This window comes from Homo sapiens, chromosome 8 (assembly GCF_000001405.40).
Source record: "Homo sapiens chromosome 8, GRCh38.p14 Primary Assembly".
Lineage (NCBI taxonomy): Eukaryota > Metazoa > Chordata > Mammalia > Primates > Hominidae > Homo > Homo sapiens.
Genome location: NC_000008.11, coordinates 28,140,334 through 28,158,248, shown reverse-complemented (window position 1 = coordinate 28,158,248; position 17,915 = coordinate 28,140,334). Strand labels below are relative to the sequence as shown.

The following is a 17,915-nucleotide window of genomic DNA, read 5'->3' as shown; positions in this document are numbered from 1 at the left end:
AAACAGGTTTGCCTAGGGGATATAACTATCTGAAAGTACAATCCAGAAGTATGTATATAAAGAGTAAAAAGTAAATTCCTAAATGTTTAAAACCTCCATTTTACGGCAGTTAACATTTTTAGCATCCCCATATTTGTATCATTTTAGGAATATCCAAAAATTACATGTTGAAGATGGCTTTTTTTTTTTTTTTTTTTTGCAAGAAGGGCACTGTGGAAGAAAGGAAAGGAGGAAGGAAGGAAGGAAGGAAAGAAGGAAGGAAGGAAGAGAGGGAGGGAGGGAGGAGGAACCTAGAGCTATGTATTACATACTTTGAAGCACAATCACAAATGGCTCTTGAATATCTGAGAAGGCATGGAGCTGCCTGCAGACAATGCCAATGCAATGTCTGGTCTGCATGGCCAAGCATCTGTGATGTGGCTCTCACTTCTATTCCACAACCCACAGTGCATGCTATGCTACCAGACATTTACAATTACACAATCCTTTTCATTATTATAAATCATTGTAATTATTCAATTATATATCTTATGGTATATTTCCCCCCCATAGAACAAACCATAAACATTTTCTTCCAGTAAGAAAAGATCACTGTGGGAAATTTGATGATGTCACATAAGCTTTTCTAGTAATAGTATTTTTATGAAGGACTGCTATATATGTACAGAATTCCAAGAGAAAAATAAGAGCTCATTATTCAGTTGTAGAAAACTAAAGCTACTTCCACACCCCAGGAACTAGCTCAAGACAATGCTTTGCTGATGTAGAGTCCATGAATTCCAGTAAACAAAAACTGTACAGCAGACGAAGATGATCAATCTCTGTAATTATTAATCTACTTAATGTAGCTGCTGTCCTTTCACTACAATAGTTCTATATAGTAGCTAGCATGGGAATGTATTACTGTTCCATGTTCTTAATGAACATCTGCATGCTGTTTCTGTTTTTTTTTTTTTTTTGGCATGCTTTTTTTAAAGGCAGAGATTGGTGTGTGCTTATTTTCTGCTCAAGATGTTGCCTATAGGAACTAGATATATTTTGGCTATGACTGAATTCCAGCCTTTGGACTCAATCCCAGCTTACTTTAATAGAGGCTAACAAGGCTTATGAGGGGTGAGGGTTAAAGAAGATGGATGGATAACGAGATTGTTGGGATAACCAGGCCAGGTCAGTCACCTTGGCCTTCTTGAAGGTCAGTGGCCTTCTTGGAGGCGAGAGGAGATGGAGAACACAAACAGCTGGAGCCTTGGAGGCAAAGCAGGCACACAATCTTGTTTGGTGTCCTTTGCTATTTTTCTGGAACATAAAATTGTTCACTTTTTTTTTGGTAGAATATGCCAATAATATTCACAAACTCTCCCCTGAACAATCTTCTGAAACATTTTCTCCCTAATAATTTGAGTGAGAGAATAAAATGTCTTAGGTTAAGTCCACAAACACCATATGCAATCCTTGGAACCATGTCTTTCAAAGTGTGGCCCAAATCTGAATTGTGCATGAGAACCATGTACCTAGTGCTGGATAACAAACAGATAGGTCCCATCCCAATCTACTGATCCAGAATCTATGAAGGCAGAGCCCAGGAGTCGGCCCTTGGTCTCAACACCACTCCTGGTTTATCCCTTTAGCAGCTCTAAGAAGTTCCTGAGCACTGGAGTTTTAAACCTTCCTATGACTTAAGAATTTCCCACAGAGACTGTTAAGTTGCAGGTTCTTGGGCTCTTTGTATATCCTGGGCCAGCACAGAGGAGATGTTTAGTAAATATCTGTGAGCGAAGAAGGGACTTCAATGGCCAGAGGGATAGGAGACTGGTATATGTGGGGCAATAGCAGTTTTGGCAATTATTTCATGCACATAATACTTGTCTTTTCAAATGATTATACTTTCCTTTCAGGATTCACGTCTCCTTTTCCTTCAGTCAATAACTGAATACCTAATACTTCAAAAGAAAAACTGTTTTTAAAAACTGGAGTGGGGCACACAGTTGGCAATCTGAGCAGGCAGAAGAAAGCAGAAGGGAATGAAGGAAAAGGAGGCAGCCCCTGCACCACTGGCTTCAGCTCCGACACAGTTCAGTGACTATGCTTTCAACATCTGGGAGCTTTCTGACCTGACCCGCAAGTCTGGTTTTAGGGGTGGTAGTGGCAAAGTCTTTCGTGTTTCAGATTTCTCTTTTTCTCAACAGTTGTGGCCTGACCGCCATATTTGCTCTTACCTGTATTCCGAGGTCTTTCATTCTTGCAAGTGCCAGCTCTCTCAGGTTACCATGCTCTACTCCTGAGCTAACTAAAGGCATTGGAATATCCCTGTACACAGGAGAAAAACATAAGCTGTTGCAAAATAGAAATCATTCTCCACAGCAGTAAGGCAAGGATATTAAAAAAGTTAAAAAGAACAAAAATAAAAAAGCAAAAAACCTATGAAGCTGACCAGGAAATCAGAGGCAAAGCCTCCTAACAAGGAGCTTCTCTATGCCTCAGCTTTCTCATCAAGGAAATTATGATTTCCCCTGACCTTCAGGGTTTCTGTGAAAGGCACCTGATGGAAATCACTTTATAAAATTACAGAGTGCTAAGCAAATGACTGAATGCCCAATAACCATTTGTAAAGATTTTTTGAGTAAAGAGACATTTGTACCAAATAAATCAAGAAATAAATTTTTTCCTTTACAAAATCTGTTCAACAATGTAGCTTACATTTTCCCACACAGCTGCTGAATGACAAGTAACTGGGATGCTCAAACGCCTGCCTTAGCCAACAACTGGTCTCAAAGATTAAATCTTTTTTCCTTGTTTCTCAAAAATCTAAGTTAAAAGTGACTGTGCATTAGAGGAATAACAGCTTGCCTAAAGACAGGAGGAAATAAAATTTATTTCCTGGCATTAATACAGCATAAAGTGCCAGGCATCAAGGAAACTTCCATCAAGAGCTGAAGTTATGAGTTCCATTTTAGTTGCTCCAACACTCTCCTCTAGACAAAAATCAGTATCTAAAGATAAAATAGTTAACAAAATCTGAAGTAAAAATATGCTCGGCACATCTGCTTCCTGTTCAAAGACAAGTCTCTAATTTGTTTTGTCTCCTATGTGGTTGATCAGAGGAAAGATGTGGAGAATATGCCAATTATCTTTTCTTCTCATTTTGCTTTTGAATCAACTTGAGTCTTTTCCTCCTCTTTTCACTTATCCCTTCAAATGTTAAATACAATTAGCTACTTCATCCATTTGATTTTAATAAGATATTCCTCCAGCAAAAGTATCAAAAGCCAATCGATTAGCTTTAAAAGCTATACAAGTAAGTCTGTTAGGCTCTGGAAGCCAGGAGAGTTGCCATACAAACTCTATAAATCAAAGATAAGTCAAAATTCTTTAAGGCAAAGACACATTGGAGCTTTCAAACTGAGAGTGACATAAAATGTATATATTAGAGTGACCAGAGTTAGCATATATGGCTTACTTAACAGTTATCAGTAAAATAAATTTCTATCTTTGGAACTATAATTTTCTTAAAATCAAATACATTTTAAAATTAGTAATCAGATGACGCTAAATGAAGGCTACTAAAGTAAAAAATATGGTTAATTTTGGCAAGGAACATATGTATATTTTTAAAATTTTACTGTTTCAGATTGTACAAGCCAAAGTCTTCTAAATGCCCTTTTTTACCCTGAAATAATTTATAAAGAACTCACAAATATATAAATTATTAAATATGTGGCTATACATCATATAGATTAAATATATGGCTATACATCTCATATATACACATATAAGAAATATATAAAACTTAAAATTTAAAACATCATACACAGCACAAAATTAATCTGATAAAGTCAGTGGCAACCAGTGTTAGCGCCCATTACATGACAAATACATTTAATTCTTGTTATTCATGATAGTTGTGCTGTTGTGAATACTGAATTAGTGAATACTAAAGCATTGTCCACAGGGGATATACAGGGTTAGGTTCCTGTGAGCCCCTAAAACATCTTCAACTGATCAATGCATAACCTTGTTTGATGCATGTTTCTGTTTAAAGGCACCTTATTTAACATATAGCTGATTCATTAACATTGAACTCATGGCCACAGCACTATAACTCATGGACAGCACTATAACTCAAGGACAGCGCTATAACTCAAAGCAGCTTACCTAACACATGTAATTTCTCTAAGGCACACAACAGCCTTCTTGCATTTAGGAACATGAGATAGCATCTCAGGACTACACTTGGGGCAGTGCTCCTCTCTGTATCCTTAGTTAATTAAGAAGAAAATGAATGAAGAGGTGCGGAATACCATGGATGGCTGGACATAGGAAGAGAGCAGAGGCCTAAAGGTAGGGCCTCTGTGGGTTGAAGGATGACTGTATGTAGGAAACTGGTCACTGAGAAGTTAATTACCCAATGCACCAAAAACCAATTAAAAAATCTCAAACCCTTAAAAGAGGCATCAATTAAACTCTCATCAGCTCTGTTACCATAGGTAGAAAACACGGTTTTTAAGAGTCTCCTTTGTAGAATGGACTCAGAGGAGATAATCCAGGACAACGATGTGTAAGAGACTCGCCCACGGAGCCTACCCAGCCCACAGAAGGGGCTGCAGAACCCATCTCTCAACCAACAGGACAACTTCCCTCCATTAGCTCCCCAGTCATAAATGATGCTCTGTTGTCCTGCTCTTATCCTATTGCCCCTTCCCTACATCCAAATTAAACTTCCTCCCTACCTATGACGAAACTGATTTACTTATTAATTCATATGCACAACTTCATGCTTGCTCTTTTCACTGGCACACAGAATTCAAAGAACTGTTCTAATTTCTAAACAGCATACTTTGAAACTTGATAGGGACAAATGTGGACAGGTATTAAACACATGGAATTCACTAATCTGATAAGTGGCAAAGGTAAAACATTAACTAAAAATTCATCTAGACAGACTGATAATTTACAATCATAAAAAGCTGAGGCACTTTGGAGCCTTAATTTGACATTAGGGAAGAATATTAGGCCCTTCTTTGGTACTTTAAGTTCTCTGCTGGCAAATGACAATTTGGCTAGGCAGACCCTGAGTCTGCCTCATTATGGAAACTACTAAAGCTTGCAAATGACATGTAAACCCCACAAGGATTTTCTAGGATATGACATCTGGTAAAACACCATAGTCAGAGCTACCTGGATGTTCAGTAATGGTTTCAAAGGTAGGATGTAGGACCTACACATTAAAAATCATTTATGGTACCAAGACAATTCTATGAGAAAATAATAGTCTTTTCAACAAATAGGCAAAAGAATGAAACTGGACCCCTACCTCATACCATATACGAAATTTACTCAAAATGGATCATAGACCTAAATGCAGTAAGAGCTAAAACTACACAACTGTTAGAATAAAACACAGAAGTAAACTTCATGCTGCTGAGCACATTTATTTTTTTGTTTTGAGATGGAGTCTCGCTCTGTCACCCAGGCTGGAGTGCAGTGGCATGATCTCAGCTCACTGCAACCTTCGCCTCCCAGGTTCAAGCGATTCTCCTGCCTCAGCCTCCTGAGTAGCTGGGATTACAGGTGCCTGCCACCACACCCGGCTAATTTTTGTATTTTTAGTAGAGATAGGGTTTTGCCATGTTGGCCAGGCTGGTCTTGAACTCCTGACCTCAGGTGATCCACCTGCCTCGGCCTCCCAAAGTGCTGGGATTACAGGCATGAGCCACTGTGCCCAGCCACTGCCGAGCTTCTTATACATGACGCCAAAGCACAAGTGACAAAGGAAAAAGACTACATCAAAATTAAAGACGTCTGTGCTGCAAATCATACCAATAAAAAAGTGAAAAAAATAACTCACAGAATGAGAGAAAATATATGTAAATCATGTATCTGATAAGGGACTTATATCTAGCATATATAATGAACTCTTACAACTCAACAACAAAAAGACAACCCAAGTGAAAAACAGGCAGAGAAGGGACTTCCAGTTTCTGGTTCTGCATTTAAGGAGCTTGTAAGTTGCTACTCTACTTGAACAAATAGAAGGTCAACACTCTGAAAAGTCACAACTCTTCTGGACCTATAAGAGGGGAAGACACAAGGTAAACTACTGCCCCGGGGCTGGAGAGACAGAGAGGCAAATAGAGGGAGTTGTGGCTTCCCAGAACAGAGACCAGAGACTCCTAGTGGAAGTCGTGGCTTAACAGAGCAGAGACTCCTGAGTGGAAACTGCTGTGAGAAACCAACACTAAGGTAAGAAAACCTGAATTCTAACCGATGAACTGCTGGAGGCTCAGACAAGTCTGAGAGTTAAACACTCCGGATGGGCCAACTCCTACAATATTGTGAGATTTACCTCCAGTAACCTGGCCAGATCCTCACATTAAATATCAGAGAAATAAACCCTTCTGCTTCTGGCTGGGAGAGGGGAAAAGAAACCATTTTGAAACATGACCTAGCACTGCTTTTCTTAATTAAGGCCTTCCTGCAGGAGAAACTAGTTAACCAGAGCCTAACTGACCTGGGGGAAGGAAATATCCAACTCCTGCCCACTCTAGTCATCCTGTCCCATCTAAGGGCGTAGGAAAAACTGAGAAACCCTTGTGATGTTCACAGTCCAGGGGCATAGGCTCACTGAAAGACTAAGACCTAATCACAGGACTAGCGAACACTTCTCCCCCATCATCTTACCATCGGGTTACTATAAGCCTATTTACAGCAATTCCTTTTACCTAGAACATTATATGTCCGACTATGAAGAAAAAATTAGAAGGCATACCAAAAGGCAAAAGATACAACTTGAAGAGACAGAGCAAGAATAAGGAACAGACATGGCAGGGATGTTGGAATCATCAGACCAGGAAGTTAAAACAACTATAATTAACACGCTGAAGGCTCTGACGGAAAAGGTAGCTAGAATTTAAGGACAGAGGGGAATGTAAGCAGAAAGATGGAAATCTGAAGAAACACTAAAAAGAAATGCTAGAGATCAAAAAATCACCGAAACAGAAATAAAGAATGCCTGTGATGGGCTTATTAGTAGACAGACATGGCTGAGAAAAGAATCTCTAGGCTTGAGATATTATCAAGAGAAACTCTGAAAATGGAAAAGCAAAGACAACAAAGACTGAAAGAAATAGAACAGAATTTCCAAGAACTGTGGGACAATTACAAAATGTGTCACACAGGCCGAGTACGGTGGCTCACACCTATAATCTCAGCACTCTGGAAGGCCGAGGCAGGAAGATCACTTGAGCCCAGAAGTTTGAGACCAGCCTAGACAACATAATGAGACCACATCCCCACAAAAAACGGAGGCACATGCCTGTAGTCCCGATTATTTGGGAGGCTGAGGTGGGAGAATGGCTTGGGTAAGAGTGAGACCCTGTCTCTAAAATAAATAAAAGGTGTAACATGTGTAATAAGAACACCAGAAAGAGAAGAAACAAAATAATATAAGAAATATTTGAAACAAGTGACTGAGAAATTCCCAGAATTAATATCAGACACCAAACCACAGATCCAGGAAGCTCAGAGAATACCAAACAGGATAAATGCCCCCAAAACCTACATGTAGGCATTTCATTTTCAAACTACAGAAAATAAAAAGATAAAGAACATTCCTGAAAGAAGCTGGGGAGGGGGGGAAACACCTTACGTATAGAGAAAAATAAAAATTATATCCAACTTCCCCTAAGAAACCATGCAAGCAAGAAGAGAGTACAGTGAAGTATTTAAAGTGCTGATAGGAAAAAAAACACCCGCCACCAACCTAGAATTCTGAATCCTATGAAAGTATTCTTTCAAAGGATAATAAAGGAGAGAAAAAGGCTTTCTCAGACAAAAATTCAGGGAATTTGTTGCTAATAGATCTGCCTTGCAAGAAACGTTAAAAGAAATTCTTTAGAGAGAAGGAAAATGATATGGGTCAGAAACTCAGACCTACATAAAGAGAAATGTTGAACAAAAACAAGGGTAAAATAAAACCTTTCCTTTTTCTTATTTTAAAATGATCTAACAGAGTTTGTTCAATAGCAACAATGTATTCAATTATGTATGCTGCTATAGATAGCTTATGTGTGTGTATATACATACATATATACAAATGCTTACTTATGCATGTATTTAAGTGAAATGAATGACAGCAATGACACACAGGACAGGAGGGAGGAATTAGGATTATTTTGTTATTATAAAGGTATCACATTACCTGTGAAGTGAAGTGGTATAGTGTTATTTGAAAGTGAATTCAGATTAGTAGTAAATGCACATTGCAAATTCTAGGGCAACCACTGGAAAGAAAAAGTAAAAAAAGAAGAATAACTGATATGCTAAGAAAGGAGAGAAAATGGAATAATACATAATGCTTAATTAAAACCACAAAGGGCAGAAAAAGAATGGAAGACAAAAATAGAAACAAAGAACGAGGGCAGCAAAAGCAGTGCTTAGAGGAAAATTTATAGCACTGAATGCCTATATTAGAAGAATAATCTAAAATAAAAAATCTAAATTTCCATCTTAGGAAACTATGAGTAAATTAAATCCAAAGTAAGCAGGAGAACATAAATAATAAGAATTAGAGTGGAAATTGAAATTGAAACAGGAAATCAACGGAGAAACAAATCAATGAAACCAAAAACTGGTTCTTTGAAGAGACCAATCAAAAGCTGATTAGCCTCTAGCCAAGCTAACAAAAAGGAGAGGATGGAAACGCTTAGTATCAGAAGTGAAAGAGGAGACATCACTACGGAGCCCACGAACATTAAAAGGATAACAATGGAAAACTATGAACAACTCTATGCCCACAAATTTGATAACCTAGATGAAATGGACAAAGTCCCTGAAAGATACAATCTGCCAAAACTCACAAGAAGAAATACTCAATCTGAATAAGACTCTATCACTGGTGAATTCTACCAAACATTTAAGCAAGACTATGCCAATTCTCTACAATCTCTTTCAGAGGACAGAAGCAGAGGGAATACTTCTTAGTAGTTCTTAACTCATTCTGTGAGGCCAGCATCCTTAATACCAAAACCAGACAAAGAACTTACAAGAAAACTACTGTCTGAGTCTGTTCGAGCTGCTCTAACAAAATACCATGAACTGTTTAGATTATGAACAACAGGAATTTATTTCTTCCAGTTCTGGTGGCCAAGATTAAGGTACTTGCATATTCAGTGCCTGGTGAGGGCCCACTTTCTCACAGATGGTGCCTTCTTGCTGTGTCTCATATGATGGAAGGAATGAGGCAGTTCTCTGGGGCCTCTTATATTGAGTAACTAACCCCATTCATGAGGGCTCTGCCTTATTAACCTAATCACATCCCAAAAGGTCCCACCTCCTGATGGTATGGATTTCAACACATGAATTTTTATTTTTTTGTGGGTGAGGAACATTCAGATCACAGCAACTACAGACCAACATCTCTCATGAACATAGATGCAAAAATCCTCAACAAAATATTAGCAAATGAAATCCAATGTATCAAATGCATAAAAAGAATATGTTGAAACCAAGTGCGATTTATCATAATTTATCAAAACAATGAGCTAAAGTAGAAAATCTCACAATATTAGTCGATACAGAAAGTGCATTTGACAAAATCCAACACCCATTCATGATAAAAGCTCTCAGTAAACTAGGAATAAAGGGGAACTTCCTCAACTTGATAAAGAGTATCTAAAAATGCCTATCGCTAACACCATACTTAATGGTATCCAGTTAGAAAGTCTTTATTCTCACTGGATGTGTCTAGTGTTTCCTCATGACCAGAGGCCATGAATTCTTGGCAGGAATACCACAGAAATGATGCCCTGTCTCAGTGAATAATATAGGCATGCTATATTGACCTGTTTCATCACAGGATGCCCTGGTCAAGACTGCGTCTGCCGGCTATCTACACCATGGTCACCATTTCCCCCTTTACATCTGAGTAATATTTTATGGGAAGAAATGTCAATATCATGACAACACCCTGTTCCTCATCAAACCTACAACTACTAGTCTCATATTGACTGATGACTCCTGTGTCTATCACCTAATGCTATTGTAGTATTACACCAATGTAGTGTAGTACTGTAGTATTACACCAATGTAAATGCTATTAGTAGTAGCATTTACTACTAATCTAATGGTTGCCAAATAGTTACTATTTCTACCATCCCTTCTATATTTACTAGTTGACCTTGTATGTAAGGAAGACTTTTCCCTTCTTTCCTATTTATCTATTCATTTATGTATATCAGTACAAACTTATGGATTCCTATTTTATACAAGTTTTTAACTAATATTAACATTATTTATTTTGTTGCTGACATTAGATTTTTGCCAGTGGGTATGCATTCAGGCTGGTTTCTGGGTCCTTCTGACATGACCTGTCATTCTTTGATTATTTACTTACTCTCTGGAAAGACAAGATGTTCTGTGTTCATCCTGTATGTTTGCTGCCCAGCCCTGGAAATGGCCATTTTTCTAAGCACTGATTTCTTTTAGTGGAGAGTGGCTTTAGAAACTATAATCTTGGAACTCACTGTGTTTATTACTGCTGGGTGTCATTGCCTCTAGAACCTCTCAGTACATACTACTAAGAAATATATGCATGCATACACACATACACACACAGAGAGAGACATATATTTATATATATAAACATACACGCTATAACTATTTCTATATATAAATTTTTAAACCCGTAAGTTCATACTGATAATTCCAATACTAACATGGTACGTTGGTGTTCTTTTCAGCTTTCACCTTTTAAATGTTTGTAAATCCCTTCAGGGAGTGAGAAAACTGGCTCTCCTTATCTTTAGGACATCTACTCATTTGCTAAATCAAATAACTTCTTTGCTCAATGTAACTAATCTCCCAACAACTGCAGTTGCCATCTCTGCACTCCCTCTCCTTACCTCTGCATCAGTCAGGTGCCAGGCACGCTGCTGGCCACGCTTCAGGTGCACTGTCTCCACAGGCAGTGGGAAGAGGGGATGGGAAGGTAAGGGGAGATGATCTCTACAAATATTTTTAATAACAAACTGGTACTTTCAAAAGACATTAAAATTTCAATAGACGTAAACTCTCTAGGGAAGGTTTTACATACAGTGTTGGTAAGCAGAACTGTATGATAAAAAGACCCAGGAGGCTGCTACAGAATCTGTGGGGCCCGGTGCAAAATGAGAACATGAGTCCTTGTGAAAAAAATTATTAATAATTTCAAGACGGTGACAGCAGAATATTAAGCCAAGTGCAAGACCCTATGAGACTGCATGGGTCACATATCCTTGAAGCTGGCCCTGATTACCAGAGAGCACAAGTCAGTGAGGACCTGGTAACAGAGGCATTCACATTGATGCTGACAATTCACAAATGTCCTCAAATTTACGTCTGCCACTATGAGAATGCAACATGGATTCAATGGTCTTTGGTAGTATCGTGCTGCGAGTATACCAGATGGAAGTTTTTCCTCATTAAGGAACAGAAATGTGGTAATTGCCAGTTTCAGTGACAAAGTCTTTTTCACTGAAAATGAAAAGAGATAATTCTATGTATGCTGAACATGTTCAATGGACAGAGTACTGCAGTAAGCAATCTGGACTATATAAGCAGGCATTGTTACAGTCTTCTAGGAGTTGAAAACCTAGATGAGATTACTGACTATCTGAGCTTGCTGCATTCATCTAGGTAGGAGTTAAAATTATTTTTACGTTTCTCCATTTGATTCAATCTAGTTCCACTTTCTTGGCCTGAAGATCGATTACATACAAGAACATTCACTGTTCTATTTCAACAGGTAACATTTCAAGCTTAGAGGTGCTGATATTTGCAATTTGCTCATCAGAAACCTTTCAAGTGATGTCTAGGCCTTTTTTTGTCTGCAGTTGCTCATACTTCAGAAACATGCTTGGGTTGTGAATTGGTATTCCTATTCTAATGTTTCATGATGATTTAAATATCACATCAGCAGACAGCTGTCAAATAGCCTGAGGGCAGCAACAGTTTAATATGGCTCCATCATGTGTCTGGACAGAATTTTACATTTAATCATTGACTGCACCCTTCAGGGCTGGAACACAGAATCTTCTATTAGGATGCTGCTTCATAAAAACACCCTGGAAGATGTTCCTAACTCAACTGTCATAAAACTAAAAAGTATAAATAGTCTTTTTAAAAAAAAGGTAATGGGTAGGGCAGGGTGGGGAAAATAACCAATTAAAAACATCAAGTAATCTATCAGTAAAATACAGTAAAATTTTAAAAGTGTGAAACATTGTGTTCTCACTCAAATTATCTTCCTTTCCTCCATTCTCCCTTCTGATACCTGCCTAAGTTTCTTCTTGGCCGGGCATGGTGGCTCACGCCTGTAATCCCAGCACTTTGGGTGGCCGAGGCAGGTGGATCACCTGAGGTCAGGAGTTCGAAACCAGCCTGGCCGACATGGCGAAACCCCGTCTCTACTAAAAGTATAAAAATTAGCTGGGCGCGGTGATGGGAGCCTGTAATCCCAGCTACTCAGGAGGATGAGGCAGGAGAATTGCTTGAACCTGTGAGGCGGAGGTTGCAGTGAGCTGAGATTGTGCCACTGCACTCCAGCCTAGGTGACAAGGGTTAGACTTCGTCTCAAAACAACAACAAAAAAAAGGTCCTTCTCCACATAAACCTTGTAAGTTCAGCTTCACCAGTCAACAGTGTGTTGCCTATAATTGGTGGAAGCTGCCACTAGGTGAACCTCCATGGAGGCTATGCAGATTTTCTAAAGGCACTGAACAGAAAGACACAAATGATTTTCCTTTACAATGATTTCAAACAAAAATAAATAAACTATAATTATTAAAAATCATCTGGACTAAATATCCTGGAAGGAGACTTTTCTCCTTTGCCAGTGGTTTCTTCCTAGCAAGACATAACTAATATCAAATTAAACAGAGTCAGGGTGCTTAACTGTAGTCTTAAGACTAACAGCAATTTTCTACAGTCTCAGAATTGCTCTAAAACTTTAAGGCTGAAGCTAGAAAAAAACATTGCTGAGTAAAATCCCCATGAGTCTCTCTTCCCAAATCAGAAAGCTTCTCAGCCACTTGATGCTGTATAAACACTCAGCCTTCTCATACACATTTGACTATAATGTTTAAGTTAGCAATTAACATTTTTCTGAGCACTTTTATTTCAAAATTTTACTATCTAGCTTTTGATACAGGTTTCTTTTTTATTTTATTTTTTTTTGAGATGGAGTCTCACTCTGTCACCAGGCTGAGTGCAGTGGCACGATCTCAGCTCACTGCAACCTCTGCCTCCCAGGTTCAAGCAATTCTACTGCCTCAGCCTCCCAAGTAGCTGGGATTATAGGTGCCCACCACCACACTCAGCTAATTTTTTTTGTATTTTTAGTAGAGACAGGGTTTTGCCATGTTGGCCAGGCTGGTCTTGAACTCCTGACCTCAGGTGATCTGCCCGCCTTGGCCTTCCAAACTGCTGGGAAAACAGGCGTGAGCCACCACGCCCAGCCTGATACAAGTTTCTTTCTAAAAGTCTAGACATTTTAGATAATGTCTGAATTCCAAAATTCTAGTTACCAAATTCTAGTTCTATCTGAATATAAATTTTGAAACACTTTGAAATGGAATTTCAGGGTTTTTGTTTTTGGAGACAGGGTCTTACTCTGTTGCCTAGGCTGGAGTGCAGTGGAGCAATTACATCTTATTGCAGCCTCAACCTCCCAGGCTCAAGTGATTCTCCCACCTCAGACTCCTGAGCAGCTGGGACTACAGGCATGTGCCACCTCATCTGGCTAATTTTTAAAATGTTTTTATTTATTGGTAGAGATGAGGTTTCACCGTGTTTCCCAGGCTGGTCTTGAACTCCTAGGCTCAAGCGATCTACCTGCCACGGCCTCCCGAAGTGCTGGGATTACACACGAGAGCCACTGTGCCTGGCCGAATTTAAGGTTTTTAAATAGAGATATGAAGCTGTTTTACTAGAAAACAGCTATCAGATTGTTATTATGTGCTAAGTGTCCTATACGAACATGAATGTGGCCTCTTGGTTCCCTAGTCTCCTATTCGTTTGGGTGAGAGGAAAGAATTCAAAATGAGGCAACATTTATGAACTTTTTCTGAGCTTTCTCAATAAAAAGACAATATTTATAATCCAAATTTCATGACTGGCAAATTAAATATAAACATACAACTGATGTAAGAAGAAACACAAATAATAATCAGTTACAAGGGAAACTAGGGAAATGCAAATTAATACCCTTAATTAAATAAAATAAAAATACTATAAAGCACCCAATTCTATAGAGGTTGTGATAAAACCAGTAAATGTTTACTTTAAACTGGTATAATCCCTTTGGAAAGCCATATCAATATTCATAGCAAAAACTGTAACATTTATTTATTTTCCCCTTGTTCCAGAAAGGATTTAAGAAGTATAATAATAATGAAAAGATGCTTAGACCCTTTACCATGCGTAATCCTTCTCCCAGATTATACTACTCTAAGAGATTACTTCAACAGCAGTAGAAAGTTCTATGAAGTTTAGCTGTAGTGGAGGCCAGGATAATTACATTTAAAAAAGGAAGAAGAAAGCAAAGAAACCTGGAAGCGACCTAAATTTCTAACAAGGCGAACAGTTTACTAAAAAAGACAAATTAAAATTGCAGAGTACTATGCTGCCATTAAGTTTATAACCATGAAGATTATTCTAAATCCTTAGGAAATGGAACATGAAAGTGCTAACAGCAAATTTGCTAGTGTATAAAATATACTGATACGTAAAGATGCACTCCAACTTTGTAAGGAAATTTTTGGAAAAATAATGTTAACTTGTTATTAATACATATATTGAAAGTGGTTTAGTAGTTTTACAGAGAAAACATTATTTTGCTCATGTAAATAGAATATTTTATGGCTAGAAATCAGGAAGAAACATAAGTTCTGGATAATTAGTAATATTCTACAGACTGTTGGGGGGGAGTATAAAATCACATGATCAAAAAAGAAGTGTATGAGATCATGGGAGTGGTGCTACACAGCAGAAACACAAGATGTAATACATTGACTAGAACGTGAAATCTCATAAGCTACCTCAGCACTGCATATGCCTAGTCTAAAATTTCAGTGATTTCAGTGGCTGTTAAGAATAAAAAGCAAGTTCCAATATAAAATAAATCTGAATCATTTTTCAATGTGGTATATACAAAGAAATGAGTAAAAAGGAAGTAGCAAAATATAATAAATATGAATGAGTTCTTACGCAGGCAGTCAGAGTAATAGTTTAGTAACACTCAATGCAAAACATAAAGTAACATAATGCATCTCAAGGAATTCTCCTCATGCTTACAAAAAAGTAAATGCTTTACTGAACCTCAGTCCACAGTAAGGTACGTTAAAAAAAAAATGAATTCTAACAGAAACGTGTGTGACAACAAATATCATAGTTAAAAGCACCAAAACTACATAAAAAATAAGAAAACAAAATGGAAAATACTATGAACATATTAGTCTTTGTACTAAAAAATCTAGCAAATGATCATATTCACAGTTAACTACATTATCAATCCTAAAGCATAAAAACCTGACATCACAGCTAGACTCTGGATGACTCTCTTCACCAATGGCCTTACTGTGTTAGGAACTGAGTCATCACTATCTTCAAAAAATAAACTGTCCTCAGACTCATCGAGGACATTACTAATTCCACATTTTGAAAGAGATTGCACCACTGCCTCTTGTTTTACAGTATTCCATTACATTTTAATCCACCCACCTATGTGTGAAGTAAGAGTGTCACTTCGAAATCTTAAGCCTACATCCACCTGTACCACTCCTCACTCACAAGCTCCATAAGTGATGTATTGATAGAGAAACATATGTGACAGTTGGGCCTCCTGAAATTAGAGCTTGTGGACTCTCCTATGGGCCAATTCTCCATAGGATAAGTGTAACGGGGTCATATCAGAAGAACTGAGAACAGCCAGGTTTCCTTAACAGGCCTCATATGTTGCTTATTAATAATGTCATGCCTTTCTTATCATATGACCTTTCGGTTGTATCATATAAGTGTTCTCCACTCTTCCTGTCATCACTCCTTTACATTTTTCCTATAGAGACTATTTCTGCTGCCCTTGTTTTCTTCAAGTCCTTATTTTCTCAGTTGTTGGTAGGCCAGGATAATGTCGCATAGTGGTATTTAAAAGTCTATAAAATTAAGCATTTAATAGTATAGCAATGTCTCTGCTGCTTTTGACTCACTGGTTACAGCAGAAAGAAATTTAAGCCGAAAACGAAGGGAGAAAATGCAAATTCTTCATCTGATTGCCTGTGGGATCCATGCCTTGTTACTTTCGGTATTTCTGGATGTGAAATTGCTAACTATTTTGTGCTATCTGTTGCCATGCTCTGCGGCTGAGAAGCTGCATCTTTACTGCTTTCTGGTTGCTTGAGTCAGTTATACATGCAAATCGTCTTTTTCTTTTGTCTCTGTGAATGCTATTTACTGCAGCTTTGTTGTCTAGTGTATTAGTTTAGATTTTGAAACAATCACAAAGTTACATAAAAAGTCCCAAGTGCAGTACAAATAATTATTTTCCTGAACTATTTGAAAGTTAATTTGCAAATAAGATGTCCCAACGCCCTGAGAATACTTTAAATATTTCCTACGAGGATATTCTCTTACATAACCACAAAAGAACCATCAAAATGAGGAAGTTAACATGGATGCTTCACTAGTGTCTAATCCTAGACCCCATTTGAGTTTCACCAGTGTCCCATTAAAGTCCTTTACAGCCAAAGGACCCAGTTCAGAACATTGTATTTAATTGTCATGTCTGTGTAGTCTCCTTCAAGTTAGAACTCTTTTCTTCATCCTGATACTTTTGAAGATTACGGGCCAGTTATGTTTTAGAATGTTTCTCAATTTTGTTTTGTCTAACGTCTCCTGACTATTGGATTCAGATCGTGAAGTTCTGGCTGAGTAACAGAGAAGTGATGCTACGTTCTCATACCCTCTATCAGGCAGCCTAGAATTGTGATTTGTCCTATTACTGATAATGTTCACTTTGATCAGCTGCCAGGTTTTCCCACTATTAGGTTATTCTCTTTCACTCTGCAATTGCTAAGTATGGTGGGGGAGATACTCTGCAACTATGTACAGTCGGTAGTTGGTTCTAGTTCTGTTAGCAGGCAATAAGTAGTTAACATTCTACACCGAGTGTCACCAACACACTTACACTGTATACTGAGTAATTGCTCTTAGGGAAAATACAAGGTTAGGTTCCCGTGAGGCCCTGGTCACAATATTTTTGTCGACTGTTTAATACATAACCTTGTTTTATGTGTGTTTCTGTTTAAACACACCTTATCTGATATATATTGTTGATTCATGAACACTGAACTCATGGCCAATGGCACATCACTCATGCCTGAACAAAGCTTACATAACATGTATTCTCTCCAGAAGGCACGTCACAGCCTTCCTGCACTCAGGAGCAATAGCCAGCACTTCAGTACTATGCTTGGGGGCCATACTAAATGGCGAATCCTCAAAAAACTGCACAAAACTTTGAAAAACATGGCATGAAACAGACTGCAAGAAGGACATTGGCTCCCAGTGTGAGCGCTGAAATGAGAAGGCAGAGCACCACCTGTTTGACCTCAGCTGGTGACAATGCTGGGCAACTCAAATTTTTCACTGCTAAGCATGCCCAAGAATGACTGTGAAAATGCCAGTATTGGATTTGAGTCACAAACGAATTTTAGTGAGTAGGAAAATTTGCAAATAAGGAATCTGAGAATGATGAAGACTGACTGCAAATATTATGTTTCTGAATCACACTTACAATTTATTAATTAGGAATATTGGTATAAACTAGTGGATTCCTATTTTATTCAGCTGGTTATAATCTGTTAATATCAATATTTATTTTGATG

At 38.1% G+C, this 17,915-nt stretch overlaps 1 protein-coding gene across 7 annotated transcripts in view; it reads right to left on the bottom strand.

Annotated features, from left to right (window-relative positions):
- The window catches only part of ELP3 (elongator acetyltransferase complex subunit 3), a 100,922-nt gene that overhangs the window by 32,905 nt on the left and 50,102 nt on the right, over positions 1 to 17,915 (bottom strand). For all 7 annotated transcript variants that reach the window (XM_024447184.2, NM_001284222.2, NM_018091.6 and 4 more), the window contains one exon: positions 2,217 to 2,307. In XM_024447184.2, coding sequence (XP_024302952.1) covers positions 2,217 to 2,307 — 91 coding nt within the window. The remainder of the gene's footprint in view (positions 1 to 2,216; positions 2,308 to 17,915) is intronic.